This window comes from Homo sapiens, chromosome 1 (assembly GCF_000001405.40).
Source record: "Homo sapiens chromosome 1, GRCh38.p14 Primary Assembly".
NCBI classification, from domain to species: Eukaryota; Metazoa; Chordata; class Mammalia; order Primates; family Hominidae; genus Homo; species Homo sapiens.
This window is the reverse complement of record NC_000001.11, coordinates 47705141-47727495: the sequence shown is the minus strand read 5'-3', so window position 1 is coordinate 47727495 and position 22355 is coordinate 47705141. Positions and strand designations below refer to the sequence as shown.

General features: G+C 51.7%; 5 annotated features.

Moving 5' to 3' along the window:
* Window positions 945-1239: a silencer, noted in NCBI's record as "tiled region #13425; K562 Repressive DNase matched - State 12:CtcfO". NCBI's record gives its function as "represses a minimal TATA promoter and a strong SV40 promoter by Sharpr-MPRA in K562 cells {active_cell/tissue: K562}" and the evidence as "EXISTENCE:reporter gene assay evidence [ECO:0000049][PMID:27701403]".
* Window positions 2104-2671: an enhancer, noted in NCBI's record as "H3K4me1 hESC enhancer chr1:48190497-48191064 (GRCh37/hg19 assembly coordinates)". NCBI's record gives its function as "activates a minimal SCP1, AML or CMV promoter by ChIP-STARR-seq in naive H9 embryonic stem cells {active_cell/tissue: H9 hESC(naive)}" and the evidence as "EXISTENCE:reporter gene assay evidence [ECO:0000049][PMID:30033119]".
* Window positions 16186-16686: an enhancer, noted in NCBI's record as "H3K4me1 hESC enhancer chr1:48176482-48176982 (GRCh37/hg19 assembly coordinates)". NCBI's record gives its function as "activates a minimal SCP1, AML or CMV promoter by ChIP-STARR-seq in naive H9 embryonic stem cells {active_cell/tissue: H9 hESC(naive)}" and the evidence as "EXISTENCE:reporter gene assay evidence [ECO:0000049][PMID:30033119]".
* Window positions 16756-16825: a silencer, noted in NCBI's record as "silent region_860". NCBI's record gives its function as "represses an Ori minimal core promoter by ATAC-STARR-seq in GM12878 lymphoblastoid cells {active_cell/tissue: GM12878}" and the evidence as "EXISTENCE:reporter gene assay evidence [ECO:0000049][PMID:35858748]".
* Window positions 18473-19439: an enhancer, noted in NCBI's record as "H3K4me1 hESC enhancer chr1:48173729-48174695 (GRCh37/hg19 assembly coordinates)". NCBI's record gives its function as "activates a minimal SCP1, AML or CMV promoter by ChIP-STARR-seq in primed H9 embryonic stem cells {active_cell/tissue: H9 hESC(primed)}" and the evidence as "EXISTENCE:reporter gene assay evidence [ECO:0000049][PMID:30033119]".

Sequence of the window (22355 nt, the reverse complement as noted above, 5' to 3'; positions counted from 1 at the left end):
AGTTAAGCAGCTTACGGTCGGGACTGAGGTTTATGCTCCCCCTTCCTCTCCACAAAACACACGCTAGTACTGGTTGGGTACCCTGTAGGAGCACAATAAACACTGATTGGACTAAATGGCCAATTTATGGCTTCTCTTTGAACAGGCCTTAGATGATTACCTTTTATGAGGCTTACACTTTAGACTTAAAATGTAAAACAGAAGCTCAGGTTAAGAGGCAAATAATGGGATATTTTATGTGCTGTTCTGGAGCAAAAGTCCACAGCTTTATTGCAGTGGCTATAAAAGAGCATAATTGGAAAAGCCTTGATTGAGAAACCCACAGTGGAAAGAACTCTAGGTCAGGAGACAGGAAGCCCAGACTTCCCACCCTGCGCTGTACCATCCAACCAGGCGCCTTTCCTGTCTGACCTCATGTGCAAAACCAGGGGCCCCTAAAGACCGTCTCAGCCCTAACTGTCCATGGTTCTTGAGTCCACAAGTCTAAGACGCACTCCTCCCAGAATTTTATGATTCCAAAATCTTAAGATTCTCCAATTCTAAGATTCTCATACCCGACGATCCTATAATATTAAAATTTGGCAGTTTCAGATTGTACTATCTTAAGGTTCTATAGTAAAGTATGGTGGTTAACAGCCTGGGTCTGGAGTCAGGAGACCTGGGTTCACATTTCAACCCACTGCTTATCATAATGTGATTTTGAACAAATTACTTAATGAGATTCTCAGTTTTCTCACCTATACAATGGGGATAAATGTCGTCGCCATGTGATGATGATGGAGAGAGACTTAAATGAAACAGCTCCCACAAGGCACTTTCTTAATACTTTGACACAGAGAAAGCTATCAAGAAATGGTAGGTATTGTTATTGTTCTAACATTCCATGAATGCATTATCTCAAGAATCGAATATTCTCCCATCCTAAGTAAGTACCATCCTGTGATTCTAGGACTCTGTGACTCTCAGATGTCACACATCAGCCTAAGTTCGTAGGGACTAGGACTGAGACCGCATTCTAGGAGCAAGGCTGTCAGCACAGCCATGGCCACCAGATGGCAGGCTCAGGTTACCAGTCCCTCCGTAACCATAACCGGGTGGCTGAAGGAGCTCTGGGACCAGCCCTCAAGTCTTCTCTCTGGCTCTCATTTAAAAGTTCCTTTCTCTGATGTGAACAGAGAATGAAGGGGGAGTAAGGGGAAGTTGCAATTACCATGTTTTTCTTATCAATCCAAAGATCCGCAATGCAAGAATGAAAGGCGACCCAGAGCGGGGTGGAGGTCTCATAACGAAATGAGCTTAATATGATGCCGTTTCAACACGGCTCACTGGCTGCAGGCTGGAAAGGCAGAGACGACGCATCAGCACGTTCCGGGCCTCTCACACCGCCGCCCTGCCTGGGAGCTGTGTGGTCCTCAGTGCCCCCAGTTCAGACACCCACTCATCTGCGAGGGCACATCTGCCCAGCGGCCGGGAGAGCAGGAATTCTCATTGCTGCCCTCACAGACGAGAGCATCCAAGGGGTCAAGGATTTGCCTCAGGCTCTTCAGTAGTGAGGTAGGATTAAGATAAAGAATTTTCCACGGCCGGTGCTGTGTCTCCGTTAGGCTGATGCTGGCAGCAGCCCGCTCAGCAGTGCCCTGAAGGAGGCAACCAGACAGAAGACAGGGAAGGGTGACACAGGACAGGGGCAGACACCCCTCTGCCTTATGTCAGAGTAGCCCCTCCCAAAACGACCCCGAATGTCAGGTTCTGTGCTGGGCACTTGGCCTGCATTATCTCTAATGCAATCCTTTCAAGAACACTTTGAGGAAGGCGTTAAAAAAAATGACAGCTCTGAGGGCTCAGAAAGGGGAAGGGACCTGCCCAGATCTATACAGAGATGGAGTCAGGAGTCAAGCCGAGGCTCTCTTCCCACTGCAGGCGCTGCCCAGGGAGTACAGCGCCGAGACAGGAAGGAGGCCTGAGACTCCAGGTCGGGTCCTGGGAGACCCTGGGCGAGACCCGCCTGTGTCTAGCCCTCAAAAGACTCCTTGTCAGGGCCGGGGCTAGTTGGGACACCAAGATGAGGCTCTGGTGGCCCAGATCCAGCCTTGGGCTGGGGGAGGCCAGAGGGGCTCCCGGGTGCCCCGGGCGGGCGCCGCGGCCAATATTGACTTTGGTAAACACCATTTTGCACGGAGCGGGGGGCGAGGGCGGGGGCGCCCTGACCCGGGGGGCGGAGGCAGCGGCTCCGCATTTAGACGAGGCCATTAGCCGCGATCGATGGCTGCGCCGCGCGCTCCGGCCGCTGGGCGCTCCCAAATGAAGGTTAAGTTTGCTCTGCGCCCCGGCGCGGCCGGCCATGCGCCCGCATAATGGCCCCGGCCCAGCCAGCCCGCGCGCCCAGGTTAAGCGGAGGCCGAGGGGCCGCGCTGTTGTGCTGGGGAGGACTCGGCTTGGCCCAGGGGAACCGCAGGGTAGATGTGCTTGGGACCCAGTGTGCGGTGCCCTGGTCTGTCTCCCTCAGGGTTACCCTCCTGGGCTCTGGTGGGTCCTGGATGGGTAGGGTAATGTGGCTGTGCCTTAGCTTTTGCTCCAGGGCCACTCGTTTGAATGCACGGCCTGTGTAACCTTGTGAGAGTGTGCCTGGGCGTGCACCCTCGCACCTGGACATCTGGCGTGGGCTACCTGGAACACTGGAGCCAGCCAGTCTGGGAAGCCAGAGCTCTGTGTGCCAGAATTCTGGTTCTGCCATTGCCCTATCTCTTCTTGCAAGTCACTTCCCTGCTTCAGCCTCAGACTCATCTCCTGAAACAGGCAGGTCAGAGGGCACCTGGCCCTGGACAGGCAAGGACACATTCACACGCGTATTCGTGGGTGGCTAGGCTGTGTGAGTGCACATCTGGGATGTGTGCATGGACATGGGTGTGGCTACACCCAAGGTGTGGCTGTGGTGTGTGCCCAGGTGCTGCAGCAATCCGAGTTAAGTCTTAGCGATTCCTCGCTGGGAATCCCCTTGCTGTCTGTTGGAAACTGCAGCACAGGCAGCCCCACACCATGTACCACCGCGTTAGACCAGCTCCCACCAGGACAGGAGCCACAGTGCGTGTTTAATAAATGCCCCTGAAGCGCCCAACGCTGCAAAGGTATCACATTAATTCTCGTACCTATTCTTTTCTCCACTTTTTTTTTTTTTTTTTTTTTTTTTTTTTTTTACAATTGAGCAAACTGAGACTCAGAGAGGGGAAGCAACTTGCCCAGAACCATAAAAGTCAGCAACAGGAGGAACTGGGATTCAAACCATGCTCTGCCTACTGCACCCTGCTGCTGCTGCTGGTGACAGCTCTGGGGATGGGCAACTTGAAATGGCAGACCCTTGGCAGGAAGCGGGTGAGGACAATGCTGTGCACCCACCTTAGTGCACCCACCTGTGCGCTAAGAGAATGTCTTCTGGTTTATTTAGAGATCCTTCCTCCTACCCCCACATGTTACACCCGAGCAAACAAAGGCTCAGAGAGGGGAAGAGAGTTGCCTCAGCTTGTTCAGCAAGTTAGCACCGGAACAGGGATTAGACTCCTGATAGGTTGTGGTGTGCTGCTCGCCTTGGTCTTGGCTGTCTGCAATGTGTGCTACAGAGGGGGCCCAGGTTCTAGATGGCAGCCATCAGCATGATCGTGACAGGGTCGGGGGAAGGAGACTCAGGCAGTCTCCCCACTGGGGGATGAGTACCTCACTCTCCCCCACGGCCTTCTTGTGGCCTAGGCCCCAATCAGTGCACTGAGGCAGGTGTGCACTCATGAGCTCTGAGCAGAAGGGATGACAGGATGGCCCAGAGGGGTTTGCATGTCACCCCAGGAGGCATTAGGGAATGTTTGGGAACATTTTGTCACAGTGAGTTGCCATAGGTGCTAATGCCCTACACAAAATAACTGTCTGCCCAGAATACCAGTCATGCCCAGGAGGACCTGACTCAAGATTCTGAGGAGCCAGGGAAGCAGGTGGCCCCAGAGCTGGGGAGTGGCCTCCTTCCTGCCGCTCTTCCCCTCAGCCCCCTAGCAGCCCCTTCCTTGATCAGTCCTGATAAGATAAGGTCCTGCCCAGTCCTCTTCCCCGGTGCCTCTGCCTTGGTAAATGAATGACCCACGGAGAGAAGGGGCCTGGCCCCGAGCCCTGTAGGGTTATCATTGGCAAGGTCATGCCACCCGCAGGCCCACCATGCTGTCTCGGAGCTCTGGGAGCTGAGGGGCCACCATCCACGCTCCAACATATGCTGTGCCACTTCAGCCCGATCCTTTGCTCTTCTCCCATCAGGCAGGTGAGGACCTTGGGGCCAGAGAAACAGGGCAACTTTCCCAGGTCACAACACCGAGTCAGTGGCTCTAGAGCCCAGGTTTCCACACCACACCAGCTCCTGGCTCCCTGCCCAGGGTTGTGAATGTGCACCTTCCCCTAGTACAGCCAGGCCCGGGTTACCAACCAACATATCCCTGAGCAATGACTTCTGATGGCCAGCTTTAGTACCAGCTCTGCCATTCAGTGCCTGGCTGTGTGGCCCTAGGGGACAATGCCCCTGCTTGGGACCTCCGTTTACCCCATTGTAAAATAAGATGGCAAGCCAGGTCCCTGAGATAAAGAGTAGGGGCACATCACTGGCAGTGCTCACCTCTCTGGGGGGCCAAGGCCTCCATCCATTGCCGCCACTACCTTTTTATGAACACAAGATGTGAGTTGCTCCCTGTCCTAACGTGACCTTGGGGATGCCAGGCTGCTCCCCAGATGTGAGTGGTAGCTGTCACAGGGAGTGGCAGGGGGAGGCTGAGGCTTATTGTGGCTGCCTCCTCATGGGCAGTAGGAGCAGGAAAAAGAGCTCCATGGACCCTGAGCCTGAAATCTTCCTCTTCCACAGCTTCAGACCACTCTACTCTCTCCAGAGACTTCTGCAAATGGGCCCTTGACACCCCAACCTCCTCTTCAGGATCAGAGGGTTTATCCATTTGGAGTCTTAGACTGAGCCACAAGGTCATGGGTCCAATCCCCTGAGTAATTCAAAGCCAAGAGAGGTACAGGATCTTGCCCCAGGTCACACAGCAAGCCAGAGGTGAAGCCAGAGCTTGCCTACGCGCTGAGACATAAAGGGTGAGCTGCAGATGCGATGCTTTTCTCAGATGCCGCTTAGCATTTCCCTGGCCAGTCTCAGCCACAGCCTGCACAACAGCCACTGCCACTAAACCACACCAGCTCCTGGGGGGCTCCCTTAGCAGAGGCTGGCTGAGGGCCTGGGCTGGCTAGGCACTGTGCTGAGCACTGTGGGGCAAAGAGATGACCTGGGCATAGGCCTGCCCTGGAGGAGCTCACAGCCGAATGCGGGAGAGAAACGGCGTCATTTTTAACCTAATATGAAACACAAGTGAATAAGTGCTATGATAGAAAAGCTCAGGGGACAATAAGCACACCAACAGGCAAGGGCGACCTACTGTGAGTGCCGGGAGAAGTTTCCTGAGTGAGGAGTGAATGTCGGAGTGGATGTAAGATGTGACTACACAGAGGAATTGACTAGGGCCGGCCTGGAGTCAGGAGGGGCATTCCTAGCAGTGGAATCTGTGCATTTGAACTTCCCTGGGTGGGAGGAAGCCGGGAACATTTCAAATAACCAGAGTCCACAATGGTGACGTGATGGTTCAGTGGGTTCCATGGCGAAAGATAAACCTGAAGAAGTTGGCAGGCCTAGATCACACAGGTCCCTGGAGGCTTCCCCAGTTCCCCAGAAGGAACTGGACTCTTATCCTAAAAGCAATAGCAAGTCATGGATGTAAGCAGCAGAATGTAAGGTGTGTTCAAGAGATCACACTGGCAACGATGTTGAGCATGGATTGCATTGTGAACAGAAGTGGAGAGGACAGCCCATTTGGGGAGGCTTTGCTATAATCTAGGCAGGGGATGGTAGCTCAGACAGGACAGCAGAAGTGGAGATGGGAAATGTGGATGGAGACAGGATCCATGGGCCTTGGTGAGGGCTCAGCTGCGGAGGTGAGGGAGGAGGAGGTGTCAGGCTGACTCTGCCCTGGGTACAGGCTGCAGGCTGAAGGCTGTTACCAGGCCCAGAGACAAGAGCCCTGGAATGGACATTCTCTTTGGGGCATGTTGGCATTTCAAGTCCCTTTAAGACACTGAACTGAAGGGGTCAAGTAAGCAGTGGGATGTACGGTTCTTATGGGAGAGAGATGTTCATGTCATTGGCAGAGAGATGGTAGCTGAAGCCAAGGGCATGGATGAGGTCATGTAGGGAGAGAGAATCTGTGGGAGAGGAAGCAGAATGGAAGTTAACCACCTGGGAGGAGAGGATGAGCCAGGAAAAGACTTCAGAGAAAGCAGTCAGAACAGCCAAGCATGGTGCCCAAGAGAGGACTGGCATTCAGTTCCCGGGATCTTTATACAAACTCCTCTCTCTGTCTGAAAAGCCATCTCCCCACCAAGCCAGCTAGCCACTGCCTAGTCCAAGGTGCTGCCCAGGTACAGTCTCCTCCAGGAAGCATCCCCAACCCACCTCTCCTTCCCAAGGTTCTCCAGACTTCTCATAGCCCCTGGGGCAGGAGGAGATGGTAGAAAGGGCAAGGCTTTGGAGCTTGTCATGTGACATGAGCAGGCTGCCTTCCAAAGCCTCAGTCTTCTCAGCTGTCAAATGGAGTAATTACTGTGCAGGGATTATATTTCTTGTGAGGAGCAAATGATATACTACATATAAAACCTGTGGTTCATAACAAGCACTCAATAAATGGAAACTACCATTATCTTAGCTCCTATCATGTTGCACTGACATTATCTGTTTTTGTCTATTTCTCTCATCACCTCATGAGCTCTTTCAGCAGACAGAGTTTATGTATCTCAGCATCGCCTGTGCCTGGCCCAGGGCCTGGCATATAGCAGGTGCTCAGTGAAATGAGAGTGAAGGAAATAAAGAGGTTGAGGGGGCAAGAATGTTCAGCGTAGACCTCCTGCAGGAGGAGTGGCCCAGTGGGTCCTGGAGTACCACCCCCACCAACCCCTGCAAGCAGTGCAGTGGGAGGGACAGGGGGAGGGGAGAGGGAGGCAAGAACACTCCGGGAGGGGGAACAGCTTGAACACATTTTTCCCAGCTGAGGGGGCTGGGGAATGACTTCTCTGCTGAACTGCGACCTCAGAGCCACATACCCTCTTTGAACTGTCAGGCAGCCCCCAGCCCTGTCACTCCCCATCTGAGCTGGGTGAAAAGTGAAACTCCAGCCCTGCCCTGGAGCAGTCCCCAGTGAGTCCCAGGCCCAGCCCCCATGTCTGGGTTTATTTGTGTGGGGCTAGCCAATCTCCTAGCGAGGGCTCTCTGCATGTCCATGGGCCAGGCTTGTACACCCCTCACCCTCCCCTGTGGCCCGCCTGGGCCTGCTATAGCCCAAGGTCCCCAGTGCCTTTCCTCCCACATGGGCAGGGGACTCATGCAGTGGCAAAGCTCAGGCTGCAGAGGTGGGTGGGAATCCTGCTCCCCACCACATGCACAAGGTTCGGGGAGCTTAAGAAAGTTTCTTCACCTCCCTGGGCCTCTGTTTCCCTGAAAAATGGGGGCCTACCTCCGACTGTGGCCCAGAGGAAGGGGCAAGCATGTACTTATTGTGTTTTTCCGTGCCAGATGCCAGCATCTGCTCTACCCCTCAAACACAGGTTTGAACCTTGAAGTAGGGTGGATGTTTTTATCCATTTGACTTAAGAGGAAAGAGGGATTTAGAAAAAAGAGGGGACCACCTGTCCAAGAACAAGAGACATCACTTGTAAATAGCAGAGCCAAGGTTCAAATGTAGGATCATCTAACCCAGGGATCAGAGTGGCAGGTGGCAGTGGAACATAGCACATCACCCCTTGTACCTGCAAGCACAAAGCTTGTGGCCCCTCAGAGCCTGTCTGCCCAACAGAAGACCAAGGACTCCACGATTCTAACGCCAGCTAAACCCAGAGCTCATTCCCAATGGTAGCCTCAGCATCTAGCCAGGACCTGGCACCAGAGGGGCTCAATTAATATTTGTTGAGTGACTACGTAAATGAATTTCCAACTCTTTGTAGAACATCTATGAGGGCGGTCATGAGATAAGTTGGTGAAAGTAAATGGGAAAGACCGAGGTGAGTAAACATGAAAGATTCATTTAGTTATTAATACAAATATTTCTCTCTGTCATTTTTGTCTATTGGCCTCCCTTCTTTTCCAATACAAACATTTATTAGGCATCTACCATGGAACAGGCCTGTGTGGGCTCCACAGATGCAGGGATAGACAATGTTAAGACATTTCTCAACATTCCTTTAGCCCTTACTGTGTGACTGACACTAATCCAAGCATTTTACATGGGTTTTCTCACTTAATACTCATAACAACCTGAAGAAGTAGAAACTTTTATTATTGTTCCATTTTACATGTTAGGAAACAAGAGACAAAGAAATTAAATAACTTAGTCAAACTAACTGAGAAAGTGGTGGAGCCCAGAATCATATGCAGACACTCAAATTTCAGAGCCAAGTGGGGAAAAATCTTCAGCCCTGCGTACCTCACTAGCTGATTGAATCAGGTGTGAGGGGGGGTTAAGTAAGGCAAGGGAGGGCCTTAGATGACATACATAGCATGGTATTTAGCAAAGAGAGAGCTCTTTCTAAATGTGACTATTGTGAACCCTATTTTTATTGTGAAAGTATTACCATGAAAGCAATAATTTTGTTATCCACACTTTCTCTCTTTTCTTTGGTATCTAATGAGCTTTTTTTAAAGGCCCTTAGAGGGTAGCTAAGGCACTGACTAAAGAGGGAACTGAGGCCCAGAAAAGGGCAGGAATCTGCCTCTTCCCAGGCCGCCAAGGCTAGAAGCATCAGTCTACTGGTAAATTTAACACCAGCTCTCTAGAGAAGAGAAAGCCTGATTTGCAGTCTTTGCCAGTTTCTATGGTGTGTTCTCACCATGGCAGATTTCAAACTGAAGTGAGATCACTTGATAGTGCAGTTGAATAGAGGCACTTACGGTCAGCTCTGGCCAGTGGGTGCAAACAAGCTCTGCACACCACGGACCAGAACCTAGGCTTTCTGACAAGCCTGGAGACCTTTACAGGATACCACCAAATCCAACGGCCCCAAGGGTCCATGTAGATGAGGAGTGGGGCTATGAGGATAGGAGGAAAAGGAGAGGGACAAAATGCTGAACCCCGAAGAGCTCTGAAAAGTTCAATAGGTCTTCCTTCTCCACACACTCAAGATTGCTTGTTCTATGCTCTCTCTGATAACTTGTAAAGTTTAGACTTGGGGAGAAGAAAGGGAAATGGCTTGGTTCCTGATACCCTCCTAGATTGAGCAGGATGTGGCAGTATGAGCTCAGTCCTGCCTGCTTTGCAGTTCCTGAAAGAAGAAGCCGTGGCTGGGGTCACCTGCTCCCTGGGTCCAGAAAGGGAGATCAGGTGATTTCATTTCCAGAGTACAGCATGTATTTCTCAATTTAACTTTGGGTCATTTTCACCGCTTATTTCCTTCCTCCTGGTCTCATAGTGTGTCCAGTGACTAATCCAAGACCCAGACTCTGACATAGGCTTAGAGATCTGTGATGTTGGGCACTCTACCAAGTACCCCTCTTCATCAGCATGGCCTCAATTCCACTAGTAGCTCTCCCTCTAGGTCAAGTCAGTGATGTGCTATTAAAATTGTCCGACTATTAATGATGGTAGTGAAAAAAATAACTGCACTTACTCTAACATCTTTAAACTGACTACTTAATATTAGCTTATTGCTATCCCAAACAAGTAAAAGAAACATTTAAGCCCCTACTATGTGTCAGACATGCAATGTGCATTATATTTAATTTTCCAAGCAAACTGACCAGGAAAGTTATCATCCTCATATTTTATTGATGAATAAAGCTCTTCCTAGAAGGGTTATGTAACTTGGCTGAAGTCACATGGCTAGTAGGTGACTGAGCCAGGATTGGAACCCAGGTGTATTTGTGTTCAATACTGTATTCTTTCCCTATTCTGTGATGATTCATCTCTTAGGTTGATTAGGAAAAAAAAAAAATCAAGATAATTCTGAGAGAGTGAACACAGGCTAGGCATATTAGTTTTCTATTGCTATGAAACAAATTACCATAAATTTAGCAACTTATAGCAGTACCTATTTACTATGGTATAATTGTGTAGCCCAGAAATCCGGGTGGGCTTATGTGAGTCTTCTGCCCTGGGTCTCACAGGCTAAAATCAAGGTGTTAGCCATCTGGGGTCTTATGGGAAGGCTCTGGGAAAAATGCCCTTCCAAGCTCAATCAGGATGTTGGCAAAATCCAGTTCTTTGCAGTTGTAGACTGAAGTCCCTGGTTCCTTGCTAGCCATCAGCTCCTTAAGGCCATTCATTTTCCTTCTCACATGGTCCTCTCCATTTTCAAAGCCAGCAATGATGCAGCAAGTTATTCTCATACTTCAAATATCTCCAAGATCTCCTTCTTCTGACTTCCTTTTCTGCTGTTGGCTAAAGAAAGCTTGCTGCTTTTAAGGGCTCATCTGATTCCACTGGGACCACCAGATACTTCAGGATAACTTCCCTATCTTAAGGCCAACTATACCATATAACATAACATCATCACAGGAGCGATGTCTAATCATATTCACAAGTTTCAGGAATCAGGGAAGGGCATCTTTGGGAGCCCATTTTAGAAATTCTGACTACTACAATAGATAAGCTTTGCAGGAGTGGAGGTTCTAGGGGTACTCTCCAGGCAGGTAGGACCGGGAAGGAGAGGGGCTTCCCACTGGAGGTCTTGAACACCTGGAAAGCACTGTGGGGACACTGGGTAGCCAAGGTGAAAGGACGTAAACAAGGAGGCAGGGTCTATAGTGGGGGGGATATCGGAAAGAAGGAGGCAAAAAAGAACAAAGGAAATGCATAAAAAAAAAGAATGCAGCCTTACATCTGTAAAGAAGTTCAAGTTCCCTTTGTTCTCTCACAGGGGCCCCAAAAGATACTCAGTAAATACGTGTGAAATTAAATGGGCTGTGTCACTCAACTCCCATGGAATGGGTTGGGTTGAGATTCATTGGGTAGGTTGGGATTAGGGCTGGGAGAGACTGAGTTGAGATGAGTTGGATGGGTCATATAAGCTGAGGTGCAGATTAAATGGCTTGTTTAAATTAAGGTAATTGACCTAGGCTGAGATGTGATGGATTGCATTGAGTTTAGATGGGCTGAGGTAGAAAGAGGTGAGTCAGGCATAGCTTGGTTGGGGCTGGGTTTGGCTGAGCTAGGCTAATTTGAATCAGGCTGGATTTAACATGCTTGGGTGGGTTGGAATGATTTTAGGATGGGTTGGTTTTTAGCAGGGTTAGACTGAGCTGAGGATATATTTGGTTGGGGATGTATTAGCTTTTAGTTTCAGAGACAGAATCTACTCTGAATAGTTTAAGCAAAAATAAATGTATTAACAGTATTTCATGGCTCACAGAAATATTTGGAGAGCTGAAAACAGATTCTAGGCTTCATCTTCAGGACCAACTCCCAAAGTTAGGCTGCAGAATGGACCACCAAGGCAGCTGCTCCTTTTGCAACCATTAGGAAACCATCTGCCAAGTCAGGAAGCCACCAATTTGGCTTCTGACTCAAGAAACATGCTCACCTGCATGTCCACACTAGCTAAATGCACACTTCAGTGAAAGCATTGACAGGGTTTCTCTCCAGATAAAAAAAAGTACGGTGAGGAAATTATTTGGGCAGGTAACACAAAATTGGAAAAATGTTCCTAATTGTTGAATCTGGGTCATACAGATAGAGGTACATCACACTCTTCTCTCTTCTTTTGCATGAGTTTTTTCTATGGTTATTGTTTTGAAAGGACGGCTCATTCCTTGCCTTTCTGCCCATTCAATACACTTCTGACTTCAAGCCTTGCATGAATGTATGGCATGCGGTAAAACCTACATAACATCTGCATTCTAACTCTAGGGCAGTCTGGGAAATACAGTTTTTAGCTTTTCAGCCCCTATGAGATAAAAAGGCACACTAGAAGGAGAGAGGGAAAGGGGCTGAATGAATCAGTCTACAGTTTCTACCACCATTGAGCTACACAGGTTGGGTTGGGATGAGTTGCAATGGACGAGGTTGCCTGGGTTGGACTAGGCTAGGTTAAGAGAGGTGTTGGATGGGTTGGACTAGGTTATGTTGGAAAGTTTGGGCTATACTTAGGTGAGCAGGACTGAGCTGGGTTAGGCAGCATTGGCAGGAGTTGGATCAGGATAGGTGATTTATGTTGAGAGCCTCAGTGAGGCCAGTGCTTGGGCACTGGTGTCAAGCCCTTTGAGAGCAGTGGAGTGTGAGTGTTTTACTCACTCAGAGCCAGGAAGGGAGGACTTGGAGAATGACATTATTGATGATAGTAGCACCTCTGTCAGTCCACCCTCATTGGGTTTCCTCTCCACTTCCTGGGGCCAGGCTCATGTCCCCTTCACTGAAGCCAGACCTCTCTCCAGGCTTAGGGCATTTCCAATGTTCAGCTCAACCTTTTCTGCCCTCCTTAACATGAAAGCTATTAGAGCAAGAGGCTTGGGACTTAAGTTACAAGCAGAGAAACTTGCAGGATGTGTTGTCTTGGGGCAAAACCAAACCCAAAGTCAGGATATCAGAGCCATATGGTTCCCTCCCTACATTTCTGGTGGGAGGCGTTGTGGATTTTATGGAATTTGGGACCAGTTCCGGAGTCCCACAGGTGCTGTGTTCACTGAGCCAAGGAAAATGGGTGCTGGCAAGCACACATGTTTACATGCAGAGTAATGCATATAAGCACAAAGCTTTCCAGTTTGCAATGCAGTTTCAGTTTACATACATTCTCTCTGAGTAGCTCTGTAAGGCAGGAGTCATTAGGTAACATCCCAAAGAGAGACACTCATGCTCAGAGAGGCTAAGTGCCTTGCCCAAAGTCACACAGCAGGGCTAGGATTTGATTTTTTGGTTGTTGTTTACATAAACATTGTCTCCTTAACTAGCATCCAGCCTCTATGAGGTTTGCAATTTTGCCTCATTGTTCATGGTTGTAGCCCCAGCATTTTGAACAGTTAGGACACATGGTAGGTGCTCAATTACATTTATTCAATGCACATATACGCTTACTAAATAAATGGGGAAAGAAATCCAAATGTCAGAAACCCATGTTCAGAAACACACACACACACACACACACACACAGAGCCCTTGTGACAAGGGCCCCTTGTCCCAAGTCCTTGAAGTCTTATCCCATCTCTGCTCCTTGGGTTTTCCTGGACCTGACACACTGGCTCAGGATCAAGGGAAGAGGCCTCTGCACTCAGACCTCCGAGCATGCCTGACCCAGTCCTGGTATGGTAGGTGCACAACAAACATCACCCCACTCCATCGTCTGCCTTCAGTTAGACTCTTTTTAGAGGCAGAGAATAGAGGAGGTGCCAGACAATTCCATTTGGAAAATGTGCTCGCCCTTCCAAGAGAGGACAGGATAACCAGCCCAGACAGGAGTCTGAGACCATATCTCTCTACTCAGTCAACCAGCCTCCAAGTAGTTACTGCTCAGAACATGGTCTTATTCAGTTTGCACAGACAAGCCTCAGAAGGAGGGGTCATTATACCCATTTTGCACATAAGAAAACTGAGGCTTCTAGAGAAGAAGTAACTGAATTGCCCAAGGCCACAGAGCTAGAGAGTGCAAAGCCGGGATCAGAGTCCACGTCTGTGTGACTCCAAGGTCCATAGGCGTCAATGCCAGACAACTCCCACGCTCCCCCCGAAGGGGCGCATCTCCCCTTCATCCCTGGGCTCTGTGAAGGGCAGAGCCATGTCCCCTCTTCCCTCCATCCTGCCTCTGCTCTCAGTCTGGGTCACCACAGGGTTGGGGGAAGGGGGACATTTCTTGCTGGCTCTGACTGATATTGATGGATGGAGCGACTATTGTAAATGCTACCGTGTTGTGTAATCAGTAGGAAAATGTGACTCTGTCCCCAGAGATGCCAATGGCATTTTGGAGAAAATCCTATCCTTGATTTTCTGGGCCTGTTCAGTTGAAATGTCTGGGTGACAGGGACGAGCTAGGAGCTCTGATCCATGGGGCCTGGGCAGGGCTACTTGCTCTTCCAGCCCCTGCCTGAGACAGGAGGGGTTGGAAAAGTCACACTGTGGGCTCAATCTCAACTCTGTCACTTACTTGTTGTTGTTACTCAACCCCATTTCTTCCACTACGAAATGAGGACAGGAAAAGCACCAGGTCATTATGAGGATAGGTGAAAAGGTGCAGCAAAGCAGCTAGCACTTAGCATAGAGTCTCGTCCACGACTAATGCAAAATAAATATTTGTTGAGTTAGTGAACAAATGAATGAATGAATGAATGAATAAACGAGCAAACAAATGAATGCGCGTGAATGCATGAAGAAGCGTGGGCCAGCAGCAAGAGAATAACATTTGGAGTCAGGAGACCCAAGTTGGATCCATGCCTGTCACCTACTAGCTGAGTGACCTTAGGCAAGTCACTTAACCTTGCTGAGCCTCAGTTAATAATAGCAATAATCCCTGCCTCTCGGGTGGTTGTGAGGATTAAATGAAAGTGCTGGGTGGGACTGCTTTGTTAATGGCAGGGCGCTGTGCAAATGTTAGTTCTAATTATTCTCTACAATTATGACTGCTCCGCGGGAGGTGCGTGTGTGAGCGAGGGTAGGGAAGGCTGTGCATGTGGGGAGGTCTGTGACCAGGCTGTGTGTGCATGTGTATTGTGTGTGGGTGTGTTTGGAGAACTGGGGCCATTAGAAAAACCATCAGCCCTCTAAGTTGTTCTTTCTTTTGCTAAACTCAACCTGCCAGGCTGACATCGGAAGCCGGAATTAGTGGGAAGTCTGGGGGGACGGGATTAGCAGCTGAACTTTCTATTCCTGGAGACCCTCTTTTCTCAGGAGGTCAAAGCAATTTCCATATATTATCCTGCTGGCAGCTTGGGAAGGTCAGGGAAACAGCAAACACATGACGTGCATTCCTCAGATGGAGAAACCAAGGCAGGAAGGGCAGCTACTGTGGCCCCCTGCCGTACTCCTGTTTGAACCACCATCTGAAGGACTTTTCTGCCACCTGGGCCTGGCCTGCCTGGCTGGCAGCGGTTCATTCATTTGAGTGCTTATTGCCATCCCCTTCACCCCTGTTTCCAGCGCTGGGCTGTGAGTGTTCCACCAGAAGGATTAGAGCCAGGACCCTAAGTCCCTGCTGACTAGATGCATGCAACCATCGGAGGGTCTGACTTTGGCTCAGTGTTCACCTTTCACTCCCTGGCCAGGCTGTGGCCCTAACTCCCCTCCAGCAGATCTTCAAGTTCAGTTCTCCTCCAGAAAGTTGGCCTGACTGTCCTATCTGGCAGTTGTAGAAGTCGTTCTCCTCTGAGCCACAGGTGTGAAGGGACCAAGAGGAAGGGGGCTTGGAGGCCCAGCCGCATTGCTTCTGTTGATGCTGAGGGCCAGCCCAGAAATGTTCTGTGAAACTGACCAGAATAAGAGCAGCCCAGACAGAGGTAGTGTGAATGTGGAGCTGGTGAACTGAGAAGCCTCAGAGGAAGTTCTCTGAAGGGTTAGAGCAGTGACTGTCAAAGTGTCATGCATCACCTGGGAACTGCTGATTCTCCTGCCCCACACCAGAACTAATGTGTCGGAACCCTAGGGGAAGGGGCTTAGCAAGTGTTTTAGCAAGGCTTCTAGTTGATTCTGATGCTCCAGCAGTTTGAGAACCACTGGGCTCAAACTGCACCAACTCCCTGCACCTGCAGCCAGGCACCTGTCTCCCCAGCTAGATCTCAGGAAGCCCCACCTTCCCCACACTGGTTTTTGTTGGCTCTGAAGACAGCCCTAGACTCCGGGTCTTGCAGATGGGGAAGGTTACAGCTTTCATCTCGGGGTCTGTGTCCCCACCTGTAAGGAGGAGGAGGCCTCCCAGAACCTGTCCAAGGCCCTGGAGAAAAGTTGCTGAATTGCAGGACTGTGGGCAGCCGGCAACACAGTGCTGGGCTCATGTCCCAGCAGCAGCCCCAACCCTGAGCTCTCGGTTCTCTGGTTAGCCACGGAGGTATGTAATCCTCGGTTTGCCGCCCACCCACCACCAGCTGGAGTAGTCACACCAAATGCCATCCTCCCTGATTAAAGCAGCCATGGCGCTGGTACCCCGCGCTGGACTCAGTGCTCCAGTCGCCTGGCCCTGGTTCGTAATTCACCCCTCCCCCAACAGTCCTAAGAGGCGGGGTCCTCCCGGTTTTACAGATTCAGAACTGAGACCCAAAAATGTTCTGTAGTTTGTCTGAGACCTCACAGCCTGTTCTAGACTAGAATTTGAACCCGAGTCTGTCTGACTCCAAAGCCCTCTTCCTTAAACCTCGGTGAGAGCCAGACCCTAGCCTGGGAGCCGGGTGCACGTGAGGGGGGAAGCAGATCCAGTCTGGGTGCTGGCTCCGCTACTCGCCAGCGAGTGGCCTTGGGCCTGCTTCGGTTGCCCCATCTGTATAGTGGGAATAATAATTATTGCCCTGCTGGCCTTACAGGACTCCTGTAAAAAATCAAGGACGGGGTGGAAGCGAGTGGAAAACTACCGTGGTGTTCAAACGCTGTGACTGGGTGTCCCATGTGCTTTACAGCATACAAAGCGTACGGTATACAAAATGCATCCTCGTGTGGTCTCAGGTCACCCTCTCCGCAGCTAATCGATCCTCGCCTGCGCAATCATTGAGAGAGAGGAGTCAGATGCCGCGTCCAAGTCCAGCAGGACCGCGGGACACGGGTCAGCCCAGCAGCCGCCTGCGCCTCCGGCCACGAACGCAAGAGGGCGCCATGGGCCTGCAGCGAGCCCCGGCTGCCCGACCCGCAGAGCGCAACCTCTCTCGCGCTCCGCTTCGCCCCGCAGCTTCCAGGCTTCGCTCAGGGCCTGGAGGTGCGTGGGGTTCCAGGGGCGTCCGGGAGGGATGGCGGAGAGTTGTGCAGTCTGAACTTGAAATTTGAAGTCAGAAAAACCAGCTGCCTCTTACTGCTGTGTGACCTCTTGTGAGACGTTTGGCCTCTCTGAGCTTCATTTATAATTATAGGAATATAATTATCTGCCGCCACGCCAAGCCAGCCCGCCGCAGGCACCTAGGCCCATAAAAAGAGATGGCTAAGTCTGGCTCTCAGTGCAAACATTCACACGTTAGGATTCATGTAAAGCCCTTTCTCCTGCTCTCCCCGCCCCCACCCCCGTGTACTCAGCATCTGAAGCCCCTCCAGCGAGGTATGAATGGTCTCTGCATTCTCATTTTTTGGGCGCGCAGACTAAGGCTCAGGCTGCTCTTTCTGGGATCATGTGGCTCATCCGGACAGAGACTGGCTGGCCTTCCGGCACCAGCACCAGACTCCGACCCTTCCAGGTCCCGCGGCCTCGGCGCCAGCCGGCATGGCCTGGGAGAGCGGGCCTCGGCGGCGGGGTGCTGGAGAGTCGCTTCCAATCTTCCGCAGACACCGGGTTGCTCCGGAGGCCAAAACAGTCGGAGAAGCCTAGGGGCCAGAATGCTCAGCCCCACCCCGCCCGGTCCCCGCTGAAGGGCAGCGAAGGGCAGCGGGTGTTCGGCCCCCAGTTCTGGGCTCAGCCTCTGGCCCGACTGTAACCCGCCATCCCGAGATTGCCGGGCCGCAACGCGCGCCCGCGTGTGTGGTCGGGGCTCGGTGGCTCTGGGCACTGACGGCGCACCCCGATTCCCGGGTCTCGTGGGTGCTCCTGCGCGCTCTCCCCTAGCGGTCGGCTCGAGCTGCGCCAGCAGAGCCCCTCCACTGCGGTGGGACTGCCAGGGTCAGGCCGGGGGAGGGGCGGCCCCGCGGCCTAGCCCGCGCCCTCTGCCGCGGCTGTTTGCACACATGTAATTAGCGCTAATTATCCCGGGCTTTCAGCTCGCCAGCTCCCGGCTTGAGAGCCGCGCGCCCGGTGTGAGAGCGGCCCGGGAGCAGCTGCCCCTACGCGCGAGCCCTCTCCGCCCGGGCCGGGGACACTGCGGCTCCATCCGAGTCCCCGGGACCTTGCGTCGTGTATCTGTGTGTGCCCGAGTGCCTACACTAGTGCTGGCTCGCGAGCGTCTTTGTGTGTCCGCCGCTGTGTGTTTGAAGATGCCGCCGGGGAAGGTTCGCGGGAAGCCGACGCAGATGGGGAGAGGAGGGGGTCTCAGGATAGCGGTGGTGGGGATGAAATGGTTCTCAGCTGCTAAGGAAGGAAGCTCTAGCGCCCCACTCCCTCCAGTCTGCCGCGAGTCCTGCGTAAACAGGACCCCCCGGGGCCGAGAATCCCGGGATTGCTGCTGTAACCGCCCAGCCCAGGCGTTGTCAAGCCAAACAAGTTTCCCCGGCCCCTGAGCCGTTTCGTCCCTTCTAGAAGGCCCCCGGTGCTGCCACTGCCTGCTTGAACGGGCCACCAGCGCGCCTTCCTTCTACAGGTGGCAGGGCCAGGCTCTGAAAGGTTAGGGCGCTGGCCCCGGGAGCCGCAGCAGGCGGGGGGCGCCACCCCCAGAGCCGGATTCAGGCTCGCTAGAGCTCAGAGGGTCGGCTGGGGCCAGGGAGATCGCCTCCGACTCCCAGGTCCTCTTTTCTCTCTGATCTCAGAACCCCAGCCCTTGCCGACCCGGGTGCTGCGTACTCAGCCCGTTCCCGCCGCGTCCCTCCAGCCCTCTCCCAAGGGCCAGTTCACCCTCCTCCACTCGGAAAGGAACCAGAGAGCCAGGGGGAAGCAAGCTCAGCCCCAGGGGCCTTAGGCGGAGATGGGGGCGTCAGCCTAGGTCCCCGGAGCCGGGTTTCTCAGCACACCCTCCGCCCCTCGCCGCTAGAGCGGCCCCTGGCCTTCCCCTCCCTGGGCACGGCATCCCTTGTCCAGGCTCCTGGGCACGGCATCCCTTGTCCAGGCTCCTGGGCACGGCATCCCTTGTCCAGGCTCCTGGGCACGGCATCCCTTGTCCAGGCTCCTGGGCACGGCATCCCTTGTCCAGGCTCCTGGGCACGGCATCCCTTGTCCAGGCTGCTGGGCACGGCATCCCTTGTCCAGGCTCCTGGGCACAGTCTCTTCCGGCCTGTCTCTCTCTTCCTCTCTGACCTGCTTCCCCGTTTCCCCGGTGTCTCGCTGTGCCTTTGCCTCTGTCTCTGCCTCTCATTTTCTCTGCCTCTCTCTCATCGGATCTTTGCCCGCGAAGCTACCCCCATCCCCCGCCCCCGCAAAGGAACACACACGGGCAGAATCCGCCTTTGCAATAAAAAACGACAACTGGGAAACAGTGAATTAAAAAGCATTAACTTAAAAACAAGCCATGTGTCTGCAAATACGTTCCAAATGACAGCCCTTTGGGAGTAGGGGTGTGTCGGCCACATGTTCTGGAGCCTCAGACGCAAAATGTAGGGGGAGCTCAGTGACTCGCGGTGTACCCCTCCTGCTAGCCACCTGGGACAGCGGGATCTGGGGGGAAGGGAGTCTCCTCTCCACCCTGTCATGGACCCCTACCGGGTCCCCTGGACCCTTTTAGCGTTCTGGCATCTGCTGGTCCCGCCTACTCCCTCCCCACCCCCCCCCCCCCACAAACTTTCCCAACGCTGACCTCAACTCTCCTTTTGCGCCAGCCCTCCCCGTCCCCACCCCACTCACATCGATTCCACCTCCCCCCATCCCAAGTCTTCCACCCCACACCCCTTGTTGCACCAGAGGCCTGCCCTGACCCACCCTCATTCTGCCCTCCTGCCCCTAGACCACCCAGCAGTCCTGGCTCGGAGAAGTGGTTAGAACCAAAGATTTCCTTGACCTGAAGAGACTCCCCAGGGAACTGAAGGCAGAAAGGGTGCTGCCAGCCCCACGACCTGCAGCTGCTGTGTCCTGCCCATGCTAATCAAAGATGGTGTCTCCAAAGGCTGGCCTCTCCCAAGGTTGCACAAGTAGGCTGCTGCCTTTTGAAGCCCCTCACCAAGACAGGACCTCCCTTCAAAGTTTCATCATGCTGCCCCCTCTCCCCGCCCCCACTTATTCCTAACAACCTTCCTTAGCCTTTTTCTCTGGAAACTGGAAGAACTGGAGTACATCCACTAGGCTTAATTACAGAAGATAGGACTGGGTGGGGGCCCAGATTTCTACTTCACCTTCAGTGTCTTCTCAACTGGGAGAGAGATCTTGAGCCCATAAACCAGAGGGAGAAGGAGTTCTGGAGTCTTAGTCTTGCTCTGCTAATCATAATAACTTATGATGATAACAATAATAGTAATATAGTAGCTAACATTTATTGACCACTTACTGTGTGCTCTGTATACATTTACTCACAGAAATCACTAATGGCTCTATGACTTCAAGCAGTAGCTCGTCCTACCTGGACCTCAGTTTCCCTATCTGTAGCAGGAAAGGTGGAACCAGAGGCCCTCCCTATTTAGACAGTGAGTCTGAAACACCTGTAATGGAAACAAAATCTCCTGGACGAGTTGTATTTGTCACTGTTCCTATCTGTTTTAAATGACATAAAGACATCCACCAGGGAAGTTCCAGCTTCAAGTTATTCTGTTCTTGAAACAACAAAACAAGAATGCCATCACTTTAAAAAAAAAATCACGACTGGGAACAGTAGATCAGGCCTGTAATCTTAGCATTTTGGGAGGCCGAGGCTGAAGGATTGCTTGAGCCCAGTAGTTTGAGACCAGCCTGGACAACATGCCAAAACCCCATCTCTACCAAAAAAGATTCAAAAATTAACCAGGTGTGGTGGTGTGGGCCTGTAGTCCCAGCTTTTTGAGAGGCTGAAATGAGAGCATCAGTTGAGCCCAGGAAGCAGAGGTTGCACTAAGCCAAGATTATGCCACTGTACTCCAGCCTGGGCAACAGAGCACGACCCTGTCTCAAAAAAACTAAAATTAGAAAAATTTTTTTAAATCATAACAGTTCTCACCAAATCAAATTATTCTTCACCTTAATAGGGATGAGCCATTTAATTTTATTTTTAATAATAAAAATGTTCTGTTTTCATTACACAAGTGAGCCTTTCAAAATTCACATGGCTACTACCATGTCTCACTTGATGACTTACCAGATTCTGGAGGAACCCAATATGAGTATTTATACAAAGCTCCCTGGTGATTCTGATTTGAGAATTCTGATTCTCATATAATTTCTGAATCCAGTGTCAGATATCTTATACCTATCATTCTTATGTGATCTCGTCTCTGATTCTGAGATTCCAATTGAGAATCACTGATGCTGGTTTCTGAGAATTTTTGTTTCTGTAGATTTAAGCAATTTCTCTGTGTGTGTACCCTTACACATATGTTCCCAGAAGCTGTGAAGGTGCATATGCTACACACATGTGTCTCTGGGGGTGGGTGCCTATGCTTCTGGGCAAATGTGTGTGACTGTGCCTTTGTGTCACGTTTATGTAAATGAGGAAATATTTGTGCTTGTGTGGATGTGTCCTGTGCCTTCATTGATGGGCTTGCCATTTTCTGAAGCCTCCAACAGGGAAGAAGTTTCTCTGGAGGAGGAGCCCATCAGGCCCCTGAAATGCCAGTTGAGCAATCTCTTGGCTCCAGAGCTGACAGAGCTCCTCTCCTGATTGGAGAAGAGGGACAACAGATTTTGAGCATAAACACAGATCTCTGTGCTGAGCATTCTAATTCTGCAAGTCAAGTAGAGAGCCCGTGCAGCTGCCTGCTAATTAGCTACCCTGGGGAAAAAATTGCCTGTGTTGGAGTGGATAATGTGTTTGCCTGTTTCCGCGGGATTCTTGACCAACTGAATGCCCCCACCTCCCTCTACCCTCTCCCGTGGGTCTGTCTCCCTGCACCCCCAGCTTGGAAAGATGGTGCAGCCTGTGCATGCCTCAACTCCAATATGTCGGCTTTTTCAAACAGGCCAATTGCTAAGCAAATGTCATTTGAGCTGGAGCTTGGAAGGCTCTCAATGAGAAAAATGATCCATTTGAATAGATGAAGATGGGTCCCACACTGGATGAAGATGAGCTAATAAAGTTCCCATAATATCAAGGACAGGCTCCATGTCCCCTCCCCAGGCAAACTGCACCCTCAAGGGCAGGGGCTCTGCCACAGCACAGACAAATCCTCAGGTACCTGCAGCTGAGGATCTCAGGCTTGACAGATCCCCAGTCCTAGTGAACCTCTGAGTCCCTCTGCCTGGGTCCCTTTGGCAGTGCTATGGGCTGGTGGGAGCAGGAGACTTGCCATACTGGGCTGAGGGGTAGCTGCCTACTGTAGCCCAAGTCATGCCCTTCCCATGCTTGTATACACACGTGTACACATGCTACACACACCTGTAGTCTGAGCCCTTGGTTTTAACCTCTGGTACACTCTCATGTGTAGAAAGGT